Source organism: Homo sapiens, chromosome 13 (genome assembly GCF_000001405.40).
Source record: "Homo sapiens chromosome 13, GRCh38.p14 Primary Assembly".
NCBI classification, from domain to species: domain Eukaryota; kingdom Metazoa; phylum Chordata; class Mammalia; order Primates; family Hominidae; genus Homo; species Homo sapiens.
Window position 1 is genome coordinate 93,042,891 of NC_000013.11, and position 17,874 is coordinate 93,060,764.

The 17,874-nt window shown below is 38.9% G+C and overlaps 1 long non-coding RNA gene across 1 annotated transcript; it reads left to right on the top strand.

Moving 5' to 3' along the window:
- The first annotated feature begins 2,450 nt into the window (after window positions 1–2,450).
- On the top strand, window positions 2,451–15,036 carry LINC00363 (long intergenic non-protein coding RNA 363). Its single transcript, NR_126360.1, has 4 exons — window positions 2,451–2,481; window positions 4,137–4,206; window positions 13,767–13,808; window positions 14,869–15,036. It is a non-coding gene; the product is annotated as a long intergenic non-protein coding RNA 363 (long non-coding RNA).
- Window positions 15,037–17,874: the final 2,838 nt, after the last annotated feature.

A 17,874-nucleotide genomic window follows, 5' to 3' on the forward strand; every position in this document is an offset into this window, starting at 1 on the left:
TCAAGGGAATTACTGGAAGGCCTACTGCTCCAGGGGACGAAGGTCCTCTGAGTCAGAAGCTGATCCAGCAGCAGGACTGAGGGTGCCCAGGGCAAGCACCAGCCCATGCCATCACCCTCACTGAGCCCCAGGTATGCTTGACCATTGAGGGCCAGGAGGTTAACTGTCTCCTGGACACTGGCACGGGCTTCTCAATCTTACTCTCCTGTCCCAGATAACTGTCCTCCAGATCTGTCACTATCCGAGGGGTCCTAGGACAGGCAGTCACTAGGTACTTCTCCCAGCCACTAAGCTGTGACTGGGGAACTTTATTCTTTTCACATGCCTTTCTAATTATGCCTGAAAGCCCCACTCCTTTGTTAGGGAGAGACATCCTAGCAAAAGCAGGGGCCATTATACACTAGAATTAGGAGAAAGAAAAAGGGTAAATATATAGACTCTAAGTATGCTTACCTAGTCCTCCATGCCCACGCAGCAATATGGAGAGAAAGGGAATTCCTAACTTCCGAGGGAACACCTATCAAACATCAGGAAGCCATTAGACCCCCAAATTCTCCTTACCTCTGAATCTACTTCCTCCAATCCCTGCCTAAAGATAATTTTACAGGGAAGAGGATTTGCTTGTGTCTCTCCACGTGACAATCAGGCACCTATGTGGGTGCCCACCAAACATCTGAAGATCTGTCATGAACCACAGCATCTAGTGGACCCACCTGAACAGTGCAAATTGAAGGTTTAAGGATTGCTTTTAAGCCTCGATTTGTTTTCTCTGTGCCTCCTGTTAGAAGGGGCCTGCTTCTCGTTAATCAACAGTAAGTTTTACCCCCTGGTAATTAAACAAGGCAGAAGCTGAGTTACAAATGCTTCAGCAACGGCATGCCTCCCGGCTACAGCCACAAAAGTTTTTGCTTCTGTTTCAGTAGGTTTACTAAGGTGAGGGTGAGGGTATGTTTGTGTTTTTGCAGGAGATGAACGAACCGTGTGGATGCCCTCAAGATGTGTATGACCATGGAATGGGAGACTGGAGGGACCCGTGGATCCCAACCATGGACCAGATTCCCCCATTATAAGCCATAAGCCAGTTGAATCTGAATGCGAAGACGGAACAAGGACCGACCAGAGTCACGATGCTTGATGGACCAATGCTTTCTGACTCAGCTCCTCTCTATCCTGAATACAAGAGACAAGAGACCCTATTCAGCATGAAGAAGTTACAGAAGACGGACCTTCATCCTTCTGCAACCCCTAGGATTAAGGGTCCTCTTGTAAAAGGGAAAAGGGAAATATGTGGGAAGCATTCAAACCAGAGTGACTCCAGTTTGAATAAGGGCTAAGAAAAATGAAGCTGGATCACCAACCGGCAATTAAGGGCCGCACGGCCTACAATCGCCTTGCTCAATTAAAAGAGGCCACCTTTTATGCTAGTAATAATGATAGCTAGTAATAATGATACCTTCTCTTTTACAAAAAAGAGAAGGGGGGCATGTTGGGAAAAAGCTGAGTGTTGGGAAGAAAGCTGAGGCAGGGCTTGCACAATGTCCCCTGGAATATGTCTAGACTTGCTGGCTCCTTGCTTCTAGCCCTCCTAGGCTCCTAGATTGATTGTATTCCCATTATCTCAAGTAGCAGAACATGTTCCATATAAATGCTAAACCATCACAGCTGTAGATCATGCAGCTGCCATTTTTGACCCCTACATTCTCACCACCTGTTTCTCTGTTGGATTACCAATAAATAGTGTGGGCTCTCAGAGCTCAGGGCCCTTGCAGCCTCCAAAATCATGATGGCCTCCTGGTCCCACTTCTCAAACTGTCTTTTTCTCAATCCTTTGACTCCACCGGACTTCATTGCCCCCATGACCTGGTGTTGGGTCTGATCACCCCAACAGGAATCCACTGGAAGCTTGGCTTGATGTTTCCTCCAATAGGTAACTTCATGTCTTGGAAGATATAATTTCCACATGGTGACATTGTGTGGGGCAGAGACATTTCTTCTCAACTGCAGCAATTTGAAGCTCTAATTCAGAAGCCAACACTCTGTTCTTTATTGGATTTCAGACTCTCAGGAATCTCTGTTTATAGCTGCAACCTGGAGATTCCCCTCATCTCTCCACCCCAACACAAAGTTCTAGTCTCAGAAAAGCCTAAATAAATAGTTAAGGAAAAGTTGAAGTGTAGCCTCTCAGCTGTTTGTTTTTCTTCCAGCATTTCTCTGTGATAGATTTTTAAAAACCAAACAAATACAAAAAACCACCCACAGTATTTTTCATTCACTCCAATCAAGGGATGGAGCCTACTTCTCTGCAATTGGAATCTAGGCGTGGCCATGTGACTTACTATGGTTAGTGAGGCCTAAACAAATGCAGTTCAAGCAAAGTGTGGCCAGTGTTTGCACCTTGGAGCTCACTTTCTTTGCTGCTGGGAATTCTTTTGTCACCATGTGAATTGGCCCAGGCTGGCCTCCTGGAGTATGACAGACCAGGTAAGCAAGGCATGCCAAGTCTGCTGAACCAGCTAAGGCCACAGACACATGAGTGGGGCCCTCTTAAACGATCCGGTCTTACCAAGCTGGCTCATATCAGAACTGCCCAGCTGACCTACAGAATTATTGGGGAAAAGTTGCTGTTTTAGTTCACCAACATTTGAAGTGGTTTGTTATACAGCAACAGCAAACCAAAATATTTTATTTAGTTCCCATATAATATAGAGCTGCAGAATAAAATACTGTTTAATAGGGGTTACTTACATGAGTAAGTACTTTAAAAGCAACACGGCTTAATGTTTTGTCATTTTCTCAGGAAAAAAAAAAATTATGCCAATTTGATAGATGTTGTCCTGGCGAGTAAGTAAAGCAGGTGATGGATTATGTAGCAGCACATATTCACCTATGAATACACTTGATTATGTATATTAAATAGTAACTATTTCTTACATTTATTGGTATCATCAGTTTCAGAATAAAGAATGGGATGAGGGCTGATTGTTATTTGTTTGTTTTCAACTTACTTATCTTGGAAAATACTACCCAAGAAAACACATTTTCCTTGAAATAGGAAAGAGCATTCCACTGGATTTTACTCCTGTTTCCATAGACACAATCACTTGGGTTATGAGGTGTCCAACAGGGATTCTGTGCAGGAAGCAGGAACAGCTTTTCTTATGTTTTACTTTAGCAACATGGGTCAGTGACTCACAGAAGAAATGTGATTTCCTTCTGAGGAGGAGAAAGAATCAGGGTTCCAGACTGGAAGATATGTCTAGTAGATATGCAGGTGGATTTTACTGTTCAAAATTAAAGCATTGGCATCAGTGTTCAAAGGATTGGCATTGGGTTATTTATGGCTCGCCTCACTGATACTAAGCACACCCTTGCCTTTGTGATCATACTTGCGGAGTTATTGCCATGAGGTTGTGTGAGCTTGGCACACCAAACTGCTTGACTCTCTAATATGCTATAAAAACTTATAGCCACATGGCAGCAGGCGCACTTCCCTTTACATTATCCAACAGATATGGACCAAAATTAGAAAATTGAGACATTTGGGTTTTTTTTTCCCTTAGAACTGGGATTTATTTAGAAACTCTAATCTGAAGACACTCACTTTTGAAATGCTGAGGAAATTGCAAACAATTTATCACACAGAAATATTTGGAAGCATCCGCATCATTAAAAGTGTCCCTTTCTAGTTTATAACTGAAAATCAAATAATGATCAACAACGGTATTTATTTCTTCCTAGGCAATCTTCTTTTGAATCGCTAATTCGTTAAAGAACCATTTAAACTGATAAGGTCCATAATTTTCATGGTCACAGATCTTCAAGGAGAAAATATGATTATTTTTTAAAATGTTCTAATATGGTAATGGACTAATGTCACTTAAAGAAAAAATATTGAAAAATCTGTATGAATCAACTAACATGCAAGATTGGGAAATTTTTAAACTTGCACTTTTTTGTGTGTAAAATATGTATAAATATGTATACATAATGTATGTACAGTGTCTATTTCTAATCTTTGGGCATCATTAGTTAATTTCAGAGTGAGGAATTTTGGAGACAGAGTATTGTTATTTCTTGTCTGTTTATTAGGTTATTTTTCTTGAGAAATACTATACAGGATAAATCTTTCTTCCTAGAAATAAGGAAAAAAACAACGGACTGGATTTTCCTAGTTTCTACAGATGCAAGAGCCAAATGACTTTTGAGGTAAGATACAAACACTTGTTTTTATTTTTTTAAATTGTATTTTAAATTCAGCGGGGTACATGTATTTATTTGTTACATGGGTATTACGTACATCATGCTGGGGATTGGGCTTCTAGTATACCCATCACCCAAATATTGATTACACCCCACTATTACTGGATTGCTATCAATCTGTTTTCTTAGGTCTAATAGTATTTGTTTTATGGATCTAGGTGCTCTGGTGTTTGGTGCATATATATTTAGGATAGCTAAATCTTGTTGTATTGAACCTTTATCATTATGTAATGCTTTTCTTTGTCCTTGTACTGTTGTTAGTTTGAAGTCTGTTTTATCTGATATGTGAACGGCTACTCCTGCTCACTTTTGTTTTTTATTTGCATCATACGTCTTTTTCTATCCTTTTTCTTTGAGTCTCCATGTATCTTTAGCCAGTACATGCATCTCTTGTAGATAGCAGATGGTTTGGTCTTGTCTTTTTAATCCGATTTGCCACTTTATCTTTTAAACAGGGCATTTAGGCCCTTTATATTCAAGGTTAATATTGATTGATATGTGAGGTTCTGTTACTGTCGTAGTGTTATTAGCTAGTTGTTCTGTAGTTTTGATTGTGTTTGGAGTTTTTCATTGCTTTATAGCATCTCTGACCTTCGTATTTTTAGTAGAGATGGGGATTCACCATGTTGGCCAGACTGGTCTCAAACTCCTGACCTCAAATGATCCACCTGCCCTTCAGCCTCCCAAAGTGCTGGGATTACAGGCATGAGCCACCACACCTGGCCATAATATGTATGCTTTTCTGATGGTAAAAATTGTCCTTTTGTTTCCATATTTAGAACTCCTTTGATCATTTCTTATAGGTTCAGTCTAGTGGTGACAAATTCTCTCAGCATTTCCTTGTCTGGGAAAGACTATTTCTCCTTCATTTATGAAGCTTACTTTGGCAGGGTATAACATTCTAAAATTTTGGCATGTTTTTTCTTTAAAGGGGCAAAAAGTAGGCCACCAATCTCTTCTGACTTGTAGGACTTCTGTGAAAAGTCTGCTGTTAGTCTGCTTGGTTTTCCTTGATAGGTGATTTGACCTTTTTCTCCAGCTGTCTTTAAGATTTTTTTCTTTAGCGTTATTTTTGGGCCTCTCTAGCAAGATTAGGGAGATTTATCTAAATTATTCCCTCAAATAATTATTCTCTCAAGTAGTTGTTTACTTTTACTTCTCTCTCAGGAATGCCAAAAAGTCAAAGGTTTGGTCACTTTACATAATCCCATATTCCTTGAAGTCTTTGGCAAACACTTGTTTTTAAAAGGCAACAAAAATCTTCACTGTGACCTGCAGGAGGTATTCTTATCCTGTCATCTAGAAAAACAAATATGTACATTTGAATTCATTTTATTTTGTCTTGCCTTAATCTTTTTCCTTATCTTAAAATGTTGTTCACCCATTGCTTTCTCATCTACACCCTTCTTTTTATTCTATTGTGACCAATACTGGTGTCTTTGTGTAGCATGATTTTAAGCTTCCTCAAAGTTTAAAGATTTTCACTTAACATGGAAACATTTAAAACAATAATACTTACTATTGACATTTTTCAGTGCAAACATAACCAACCTAACAATATCAATGACAAAAATTCTACTACTACTACTGACACTGTCAGTAGAATAAGAAGAAAAGCCACAGACTTGGGGAACATATTTGCACAAGACATGTCTGATAAAGGACTGTTCTCCAGAATATACAAAGAAATCTTAGAAGTCAACAATAAAAAAATAAACAACCTGATTTTTTAAATGAGCAAAAGGCCTGAACATATATATCACCAAAGAAAATATACAGAAGGCAAATAAGCATCTGAAAAGATGCTCCCCATCATGCATCATTAGGGAAATGCAAACGACAATGGGATAGGATACCACTACATGCCTGTTAGCGTGGCCAACATCTAAAACATTGACAACACCAACGCTGGGGAGGATGTGGAGCCATAAAAATTCTCATTTGTTGCTGGTAGAAATTGACATTAGTCAATCAACATCAGGAGAATGTTCTTTTCTGGGAATTTAAGCTGAAGATAATTCCTGAAGGATAAGCCATATGAATATTTTAGAGCCCTAAGTGTACTTTGCAACATTCTTTATTATAAGAAAAACAAAATCCTAAACATCCAAAAATTGGAAAATGTGATTAAGTCGATTTTGATATGTGACAGACTGGTATACAATGATTAAAATATAAATCTAAAAACGGTGTATCATGTAGAATGTTTACAATATAAAGCTAAGATAAAATTCAGATTTCAATGCAGCATCAGCACGTTGTTTACATCTGTGTCAAATTATATGTGTATGTCTTCAAGAACTGGAAACAATCTGAAAAACATAAATCAGAACAGAATGCTGAGATGTTGAGACATGAATTCTTTTAAAAGTTCCTTTATTATTGGGATGCTTACTATCAATGTTTAAAACTTGTATCTACTTTCCTTAATAAACTGATACTTTAATTGAGATAAAAGTAGCTGATAAAAATCTTAGTCCATAAGGTCCCATGATCAACAAATACAAATTTATTTTCCTGTATATAAAAATTAATTTCTTTTGGGGGCCCCATTCTCTTGAATCTCAATCAGTCTTGGGTGTTCCTTGTGATTTCTTGGAGGCACAGCATTTTTTTTATCTTTGTGTTGTAGTCCCAGGTGATTATCTCCTCCTTCCTTATCTTAATCGATTGGATTCTTTGATCACCCGTTCTCTTAGAAATATTGGCACAACTTGGCCAGCGTGGTGGCTCACGCCTGTAATCCTAGCACTTTGGGAGGCCAAGGCAGGCGGATTACCTGAGCTCAGGAATTCAAGACAAGCCTGGGCAACACGGTGAAACCCTGCCTCTACTAAAATACAAAATATTAGCCTGGTGTGGTGGTGCACGCCTGTAGTCCCAGCTACTCAGGAGGCTGAGGCAGGAGAATCGCTTGAACCCAGGAGGCGGAAGTTGCAGTGAGCCGAGATCGTGCCACTGCACTCCAGCCTGGGTGACAGAGTGAGACTCTGTCTCCCGCCACCATCCCCCACCCGCCCCCCCGCAAAAAAGAAATATTGACACAACTCAGGCCTGGCGTGGTGGCTTACGCCTGTAATCCCAGCACTTTGGGAGGCTGAGGTGGGCAGATCACGAGGTCAGGAGATTGTGACCATCCTGGCTAACCCGGTGAAACCCCGTCTCTACTAAAAATACAAAAATATTAGCCGGGCGTGGTGGCGAGTGCCTATAGTCTCAGCTACTCGGGAGGCTGAGGCAGGAGAATGGCGTGAACCCAGGAGGCAGAGCTTGCAGTGAGCCAAGATTGTGCCACTGCACTCCAGCCTAGGTGACAAAGTGAGAACCCGTCTTAAAAAATATATGTATTGGCACAACGTGGATGGGCATGGTGGCTCATACCTGTAATTCCAACACTTTGGGAGGCCGAGGCGAGTGGATCACCTGAGGTCAGGGGTTTGAGACCAGCCTGGCCAACATGGTGAAACCCCGTCTCTACTAAAAATACAAAAAATTAGCCCAGCGTGGTGATGTTTGCCTGTAATCCCAGCTACTCGGGAGGCTGAGGCAGGAGAATCGCTTGAACCCGGGAGGCAGAAGTTGCAGTGAGCCGAGATCGGAGGTTGCAGTGAGCCATTGCACTCCAGCCTGCGTAACAAGAGCAACTCTGTCTATAAAAAAAAAAAGAAAAGAAAAGATAAAAAGAAATATTGGCACAACTCTCAGAAACATGGGAACACACATATCCACACTCATCTGGGCTACAGTTTAAATTCTGGTTCCTTTCCCCTTTAGGCACATAGGATCATGCCGAACTAAAATGGGGCTGTCAAAACTCTGAAAAACTCTTTCTTATCTTCCTTAGTAGAAATCCCTAAACAATTCTTTTGCCAATGGTTATACCAGCAGCCCAAAACTCTAAGGTCTTGATGCCCCACAACCAAGTTTTACTTTGAAAATGGTATGTGGTTCACTTATCACCCAGATTTCCATCCTCACAAGAAATCTGATCATACTTTCTACCCCAGCCTTGAAGTAGGTAGCAAAATGGAGAGAGAGAATAAGTGTGAAGGAGAGAGAGAAAGGAAATGTAGCAAAATATTAAGAGTTGATGATCCTGAGTGAAGGCTATATATTTATTAATTGTATAATTTTTCCAGCTTTTTTATTTTGTCATTTTTCAAAATAAACTGTTGCAAAAGCAAGAAAGAATGGAATAGCTGAATTGGAAGTCAACAGTATAGATATGTGTCTTTTATGGAATTTTGGTATGATAGAGGAGAGAATTAGGATCGTGAGTGGGACAGAAAGGAAGTGTATAATTTCTTGCTCTTTATGTTAAAAAAAAAAAAAAAGAAATCTAGTCTGGGCCCAGTGGCTCAAGCCGGTAATCCCAACACTTTGGGAGACCAAGAGGGGCGGATCACTTGAGGCCAGTAGTTTGAGACCAGCCTGGCCAACATGGAGAAACCCTGTCTCTATTAAAAATACAAAAATTAGCCAGGTGTGGTGGTGGACACCTGTGATCCCAGTTACTTGGGAGGCTGAGGCAGGAGAATCATTTGAACCCAGGAGATGGAGTTTGCAGTGAGCTGAGATCATGCCACTGCACTCCAGCTTGTGTGACAAAGTGAGATCCTGTCTCAAAAACAAACAAACAAAAAAACAGAAAACCAAGCAGGTTATTTATACACACATCTATAACTTCAACTACATATTAATATTTGCAAACACTCGGAAAAATTTCCACCTCAGAAGTGGCTTTTGTTTTATTGTGTCCCCATAACTTTTTTCCTTTCATTTAAAAATATTCTACCATGGTAGTAAAGACAGAGTGGTACTGGCAAAAGTAAAGAAAAATAGATCCATGAAATATAATAGACAGCTAAGAGATAGAACCACATAATATATAGGTAACTGATATTTGACAAAGGGGCAAAGGCAACACGGTGAAGAAAAATCTTTCAACAAGTGATGATGGACCAATTGGACATCCATATGAAAAAATGGATCTAGAAACAGACCTTACACCCTTGACAAAAATGAACTCAAAATGGGTTATAGATTTAAAGGTAAAACACAAAACTAGAAGATAATCAGCAAAAAGCTGGATGGCCTCATTTATGGCATGATGTTTTAGATAAAACACCAATTGTACAACCTGTAAAAAAAAAATAAGCTGGACTTCATTCAAATTAAAAACTTCTGCTCTGTGAAAGACACTGTCAGTCGAAGAAGAAGAAAAGCCACAGACTAGGGGAACATATTTGCACAAGACGTGTCTGATAAAGGACTGTTCTCCAGAATATACAAAGAAATCTTAGTCAACAATAAAAAAAAAAAACCTGATTTTTTAAATGAGCAAAAGGCCTGAACATATATATCACCAAAGAAAATATACAGAAGGCAAATAAGCATCTGAAAGGATGCTCCCCATCATGCATCATTAGGGAAATGCAAACGACAATGGGATAGGATACCACTACATGCCTGTTAGCGTGGCCGACATCCAAAACATTGACAACACCAATGCTGGGGAGGATGTGGAGCCATAAAAATTCTCACTGGTTGCTGGTAGAAATGCAAAATGGTACAGACACTTTGGAACACAGTTTAGCAGTTTCTCACAAAACTAAACTTACTCTTATTATATGACACAGGAATCCTGCTCTTCAGTATGCACCCAAGTGAGCTGAAAAATTCTGTCCACACAAAAACCTGCACAATGATGTTTCTAGCAGCTTTATTCATCATTGTCAAAACAGGGAAGCAACCAAGATATCCTTTGGTATGTGAGTGGATCAGTAAACTGTGGTACATCCAGACAATGGAATATTATTCAGTGTGGAAAAGAAATGAGTTATCAAGCCATGAATAGTCATGGAGGAAACAGAAATCCATATTACTGAGTGAAAGAAGCTGATTGGAAAAGGTATGATTCCAACTATGTGGCATTCTAGGGAAAAAAAAAAACCACTATGAGGACAGTAAAAAGGTCAGTTGTTGCCAGGGGTAGAGGGAGGGAGGGATGATTAAATAGAACATAAAGTTTTTAGTACATTGAAACTATTCTATGTGATACTCATTGGTGGATATATGTCATTAGACATTTTCAAAGTCGATAAAATATACAACACTAGTATTCCAAGAACCAAGCCGGGTCCAGCCTCATTTTTCTCCAGGCCCAATAATGAGAAGCAGACAAACTAGGAAAGAAGAGAATTTATTGCTGTAACCGGATACAGGGAGAAAGCCAGAGATAAATAATTCCACCAGACCAACTCAAAGTGTTACAGTTTTCTTAGTGCTTACATAGGTTGGGGTTATGTGCCCACCTGCAGTATAGCATTCGCCTGTCTATAGGTAACTAATTTTGTTTTACTAGAAGGTCAGAGGCCAAAAAATGGTTGCTAAGTCCGATTAAGCTGTGAAGGCCCCAGTACCTTCAAGGCCTGTCTACTGTGGTACCGGAGTGATTATTTCTAATTCATCTTCTTTACAGCTTGGTCCAGAGAGCTGCCTTATACTCTACAATGAATCTATTCAAACAGCTGCCTCTGTTACCTTGACTCGTCTCAGATTTTTGTCAACCCGAGAAGGGTTTTCTGGCACTACGAATATAAGACTGTCTATTATTTTGGCTTGCTCCTGTTTAGGGAGAAGCCCATTCAAGGCTCCTACTGACTAAATATTTTATTTCTAGCTTTGATGTCTGGGCACTGATTTCCTAGGTTTAACTATTTGCTCAATGTTAAGGCAGTGCTGTGGAAATTTATCTGTGTAACTGAAGTGCTACGCAGGCCTGTGTGACTGTCATACAGGCCTGTCTGTGTGATTGTCAGGGAGAATTGGCCTGGCACACTAAGAGTGAACACAGGGGTGTAAACTATGGACTTGGGGTGATAATGATTGTCAGTGTAGGTTCACCGTTTGCAACAAATGTACCGCTGAGGGGCAGGATGTTGATAGTGAGGGAGGCTGGGCCTGCACGTAGAGGGGTTCTGGGAGTATACAGGAACCCTCTATACTTTCTGCTCCATTTTGCTATGAACCTAACACTGCTCCAAAAATAAAATATATTTAAAAGGGCAAAAATTCTAAAATTAGGGCAGATATAAGCTTGAGGAATAAAATAAGAACTAGTTGTAAGAATTAGAGAGCTGGTAGAAGTCACTAAATGCCACTTGTCCTTTTTTTTTTTTTTTTTTTTGAGATGGAGTCTCGCTCTGTCACCCAGGCTGGAGTGCAATGGCACGATCTCGGCTCACTGCAACCTCTGCCTCCTGGGTTCAAGCAGTTCTCCTGCCTCAGCCTCCCGAGTAGCTGGGATTACAGATGCCTGCCACTATACCTGGCTAATTTTTTGTATTTTTAGTAGAGATGGGGTTTTGCCATGTTGGCCAGGCTGGTCTTGAACTCCTGACCTCAAGTGATCTGCCCGCCTTGGCCTCCCAAAGTGCTAGGATTACAGGCATGAGCCACCGTGCCCCACCAACTTGTTCTATTTTAATAAAAGATTTTCTATATTTTCATGAAAAATCTTTCTTTAAATCCTCATTCCTAGTAAATACATTTTTATTTTTGCTTGCCCACTAAATATTAAAAATTGGGAAGTTTTTAAGAATGATATTGAAAATATTTTCTATATCTTTTTGTTTGCCTAAATGTCTGTGGTCAGGATCTTTTTTGTAGTTAAACCTATTTAACTTCTTCCTTAGTGACTAAATGAAAGAATAAAAACATTTTCACTATTCTCTGACCCAATAAGCCTATGAATGTTGTGTCATTTTAATGGGCCAAATATTTGGAATAAAATCTTGTGATTGGAGAAATGAGATATAGATTTGATGGAAAAGAAATTGCTTATGAACAAACAATGACATGAATTTTTATGTAATAATGTGAACATATACAAATTTACTGCATACTAAGTTTATCATTGAGAAGGCTGATTCATAGACTCATAGGTGGTGCAATTGTGGTGAAGAATGAAACATTCTACCAAGGTCACAGTATTGCTAATGACAGCCTTCTGGTAACCTGTGATACCCCGGTCCCCTCAGCTAAATTTATCTTATCCATTCTTAATGATAGGAAACACTAGGATTTATTTTACTTTGTGTTAAAGCATGTGTGCCTTTCTAAAAGGCCTCTTTTAGAAAAGTTTTGGCCGTGCCTGAAGGTATTAACTATAGCAGACCTCCAGGGATAAGAAACACTTGTTCAGCTCTAATTATTTTATCAGGTGTCAGCCTCGCTGCCTAAATGCCTAAATTCTAAAGCAAGTCAGTTGCCTTTCAATCAACAAGACAGAACCATCTACACCTGACAGATCCCCATCAGAAAACCCATGGAGACAATTGCTTCTCCAGAAGGATCAGAACAGGCTAGTCATTTATTTCCTGAGATTCTCTAACTTTCACCTTTTTTTCATTCTGATCATAAGAAAAAGATATGCATGTGCTATATTACATTAACTCTTCCAGTGTAGCAATGTGTTCTCAGAACTACAATTTAATATTTTACCTGGTAATCCCAGCACTTTGGGAGACCAAGGCGAGAGGATCGCTTGAGGCCAGGAGTTCAAGAGCAGCCTGGGCAATATAGTGAGACCTCATCTCTGTTTATTTTTTTTAAAAATGTACTTTGCCTTGTATCTGGAGAAGTGTGTGAAATAATGTTACCTTAGACATTGCTTCATTTGTTGTTAATATATCAAGAGAGTTTGTTATGAACTTCTATTCTGCCACATGAGAAATTCTTCTGAGTTCAGAACTAGGACATGTTGGCCATTTCTAGTAATTTAGCATTCTATATCAAATAATAGTTATTTAACTCAGCACCATTGTCTTTTCACCCTGGCTGCCAGGAAGCTAAGTGATTTTTATGGCCATAGCTTCAGTAGCCTTGTCCGCTTCCCATCTCTTGTCATTTTGCCCTTGTTTTCATTTTACAAAAATTCACTTTATCTCTCCAATATGACAAAACACTTTACAAACTCAAAGGCAATAAATCCCAGGCATGTTCGCTGAGCAGTTATGATGTGGTCATCCATGGCACTGAATGAGAACAAAAGTCAGATTCAAGATCCTGTTGGAGGATCTTGGAGACTCACAGCAAGTCAGACACCCAAGCTACAACTGTCAGAAAATTAAGTACATAGTATAACAGAAATAGATACAAGTTGCAGTGGGAATAGAGATGGAAAATATCTGTGTTTTGTTAGAGGAGAACTAGAAGACTTCACAAGAATGTGAACTCTTAACCTGGGTCTGGAAGGATGAGTAGGACATCGCAAGAAAGTATGTTTGTAATGTACAATGGGTCCTGAATCCCAGGATACAAATTCAAGATATATAAAACTTAATATCATTTTTCTGTAACCAAATGCATCTCATTTGACTCTGGTACTGTGGTTTAATCTGAGCAAGTTGGTCTCTATCCTATGAGCCCATGAAATGTTCATTTGATTTAGGGAGTTCAAGAAAATAGCGGTTCTGATTCATTTAATATTCTTTTAAATATAGTGTTTCCTGCCTGGATGTTGACTTTTGAAACTCAGATATTAGGTATTTGATTCTTTTAATTCTCTTTGTATTTTTGATGTGTCATCCCTTCCCAGAGGTAATAACAGGAAGATAAAATGCAGAAAAAGGGGAAACCAGGTATTATTGTGCCCAGCATTGAGTGCCATAACAAAACAACATCTCTTAGTTGAGAGAGGCCTCAGTGGCAAGGGACCTTAGATATTATCTCTGTCAAGCTCCTTCACCCTCATTTTATGGAGTAGAAAATTGATGCTAAGAAAGGCAGAGTGATGCTCCCAACATTATCCTGGTCAGTTGGAATTGTGGGCTGCACTTTTTTTTTTTTTTTTTTTTTTTTGAGATGAAGTCTCACTCTGTCGCCCAGGCTGGAGTGCAGTGGTGCAATCTCGGCTCACTGCAACCTCTGCCTCCTGGGTTCAAGCGATTCTCCTGCCTCAGCCTCCAGAGTAGCTGGGACTACAGGCGCGTGACACTGTGCCAGGCTATTTTTTGTATTTTTAGTAGAAACGGGGTTTCACCATATTTGTCAGGCTGGTCTTGAACTCCTGACGTCGTGATCCACCCGCCTAGGCCTCCCGAAGTGCTGGGATTATAGGCGTGAACCACTGCACCCGGCCTGTGGACTGCACTTTTAACTCCAGCCTCAGCAGTATTCCAGATCTCTTCAATATTTCTTTAATCTGCAGCACTAAAGAATTGCCAAAGGAGTTTGTTACAACATATCAATGATGCATCATATTTCAGGGCTTTATTGTCAGAGATTCAAATACAGAATGCGTTTTTACCAAGTGCTTCAGGTGAGACTAATGCAAAGGACCTGCCCTTTCAAGTACACACAGTGAAAGTCTGAACTCCATAAGGACAGAAGCCGATTTTTGTTAATCTTTTTATGCCCAGTGCCTACATAGCACGTATTGTATAGAAAATGTGTAACGTTGAATGCATGCAAACTGTATTTCTAAAAATACACACCACCTTCATTTGTTGTTTGTTTCTAGCAAAAGCACTGACAAATTTATTCTTTACTGGAATATTTTGAATTGTTATCTTCGAATTGTTATGTTTCTGCATTTCTTTATAGATCAAGCTTCTCAATACAAAGCCCAGATCAAGCTTTTCAACACAAAAAGCCATCAGCCTCAACAAAATCCTAGGAAGCAGAATTCAAGCAGTGAAGGATAATGTTTTGTTTAAGTTGTCAGTGTTCACCCTTCAAAAATGTAAAATATAATTCCAAATCAAAATCCAAGTTGCTTTTCTTTTTGGTATTTTGCGATTTATTGTAGCATTACCTTTATTTGTGAGGAAAATATATTGAAGGTTTTTTTCTCATTAAATATGTAACTATGAAATATTTAGGTCTACAAAATGAATTTCTCTATATTTTATGAACAAAATATCCTAGAAAAGAGAGACTTTTTAAATAAATGAAGATTAGTGAGGATAATTATTTCATATAGAAAAATTACATTTATTGGCTTCTAAGACCTAATCTACTCAATAAAATAAGTTATGATACCTTAATAACTGAGGAAAATAGACATAAGTAAAAAAAAACACGAGGAGAGAAGTCTACATGTAAGTATTCTGAGGTCAGGACTTTTTCAACTTTATCACAAAATTCACAGGGTGGATAAATAGTATTTCCACATTTTATAAAGGTTTCGAGGAAGCCTCAGTATAATCAGCCCCTAACATATTATCTTCTAGATAGCCAAGTTCTGTAGCTCACAACACATGGCCCCTGCCTTCCAACTGTAATTAACATAATCTGGTTATCTTATTCTGTAAAAATTACAAAAGTCCATTTCAGTGGGGTAATTGCAGGTGAGTGATATCCAAGACTGAGAAAATGTAGATTATTAGATTTAGCAAAATGTTATAGCATGATTCATATTTGTTGATTGTGAAAATGCTTTTGGGAGATTGAATTAGCAGAAAGAAGACCTTTTAAAGGCTCAGAGAAAATAATCTCAGGAGTGTAACATTGGAATGAATTTGCAGATCTAAATGAGCATGTCTAAAAATTAATATAACAAAAGAAGAGTGGTACATAAAAGTAGGAAGTCAGCAAATAAGCCAGATTGATTTTGACATTTGACGAGCAACTATTATAGTGAAAGTAATCATGAAAATACAAGCTGACTGTGTTTTTAGTGATTAATTCTGGCTAGAGTATGACAAGTATCCAGATATTCAGACAAAAGCAAAAATGCTAATTTGCCTGAAACATATTTTTTCAGTGTAATTTGAATCATTGTTTTCCTATATTCCTAAACTTTCTCCAGATGGTTCATAATTTTGCTTTTAGAGTAATTGTTTTGTTTTTAAACTTCCACCTTATCTTTTCTCATAAAGCAACACTCATGACCAGAGCCCAGAACATAATACTAAAATCACATTTCTTAAAAGTATTCTACTTAAAGGACACATCTTCAATTCAATTGAAACTAAGTCTTACACAATGGAATGATTCTCAAATTATTTAAAGTGAATTACTGGTGGCAGCATTGGTGTTAAGGGAAAGACCATTGGAACAGGCATACATTACAACCAAAAGCCCTATTCCTCCTACCATAATTGGCCATCTATTTGGGGCAATGTAGCTTAGATAAAAGAAAACCTACTAAAGGTTTTGGCCGTAACTACATTTGTACAAGAAGATTCTGGTAAAATGTCAGGACTTCACCATCCAGCCCATTGGTTACTGATAAAGTTTTGATATGTGTCCCCTCCAGCTCTCATGCTGAAATGTGATTCCTAATGTTAGAGGTAGGACCTGGCAGGAGGTTATTGGATCATGGGGGTGGATCCCTCAGGAATGGCTTTGAACCATTCCCTTGGTGATAAGACAGTTCTTGCCAGTTAGTTTACATGAAATCTAATTGTTCAAAAGTCTGGGACCTCCCCTCAACCCCTTTCTCTCGCTCTTGCTCTTACTATGTGACTCACTTGTTCCCTTTCACCTTCTGCCATGGTTGTAAGCTTCCTGAAGCCCTTACCAGAAGGCAAGCAGATGTTGGTGCCTTGCTTGTACAGCCTGCAGAACCATGAGCCAATTAAACCTCTTTCCTTCTTAAATTACCCAGTCTCAGGTATTTCTTTATAGTAACACAAAGACAGCCTAACACCGTCACCTACTCTGCAGTTTTTCCCAGCAGCTTGTCTGATGCCAAAGCCACCCCTTTCATAGATGGAAGCAAAGATGCCATTCTGGACAGTGAACAAAGTCACTGGGATAGGGTGTTAATTTTGTTCTTTCACAGCACATTGCAGCTTTCTTTGTGCAAAAACAATATGGAAAAGGAATGGGAAGTAAAACATGCTGTACTGAAAAGACATAACACAATGTGTCAGTGGACAAGAACCATTTTAGAATAAAACTAATTTTATATATTTCTCAAAAGTATATTTGTTCATCTAATAAAGTGATGGATATTAAAGGTAAATAATGGGGACGGGGACAAAAATTCTTCAGTCTCAGTAGACAATATTAGAAAGTTTTCTTTCTCATAGAACTATAAAAAGGTGATTTGTGGTGTGATTTTCTCAACTTCGTCCCTACGCATATTATCTCTGTAAGATGAATCTTTTCTAAGACATGGATTGCCCTTTTATGCTGACTGCATGCGTGCGTATGCATAAAATGCCACATTTCCAATTAGGATGTGTATACTCAGGAAGGATGACATATCAGGGCTGTCAGCCTAAAAGCCCTACAGCTCAGGAGAATTTTCCATATCACTCTGTGGACCTGCGAAGATTATGGGACTTATCTATTTGTTTTCTTTCTCTTCTCTTTTCTTACCTTTCATTCCAAAGTCAACCTCTCTCTCAAACTGTAGATATTGTTATTTTGGATAGCTCTAGAAATAAAGTGAATTTGGTGATCTCTTTTACCAAAATTTAAATAATGTTTTCTCTTATCCCAGTAAGATGCACTCCCTGTTTCCCTGTTTTTCCCAACATCAGTTAGTTTCCAACAATTTAGCTTTTCATCTTCATATAGAAAAATGTGCTAACATATTATTGAAAAAGATTGCTTTGTGTGGAAGAAACTACAAGGAGAAATTTGCATTTGAAGTTT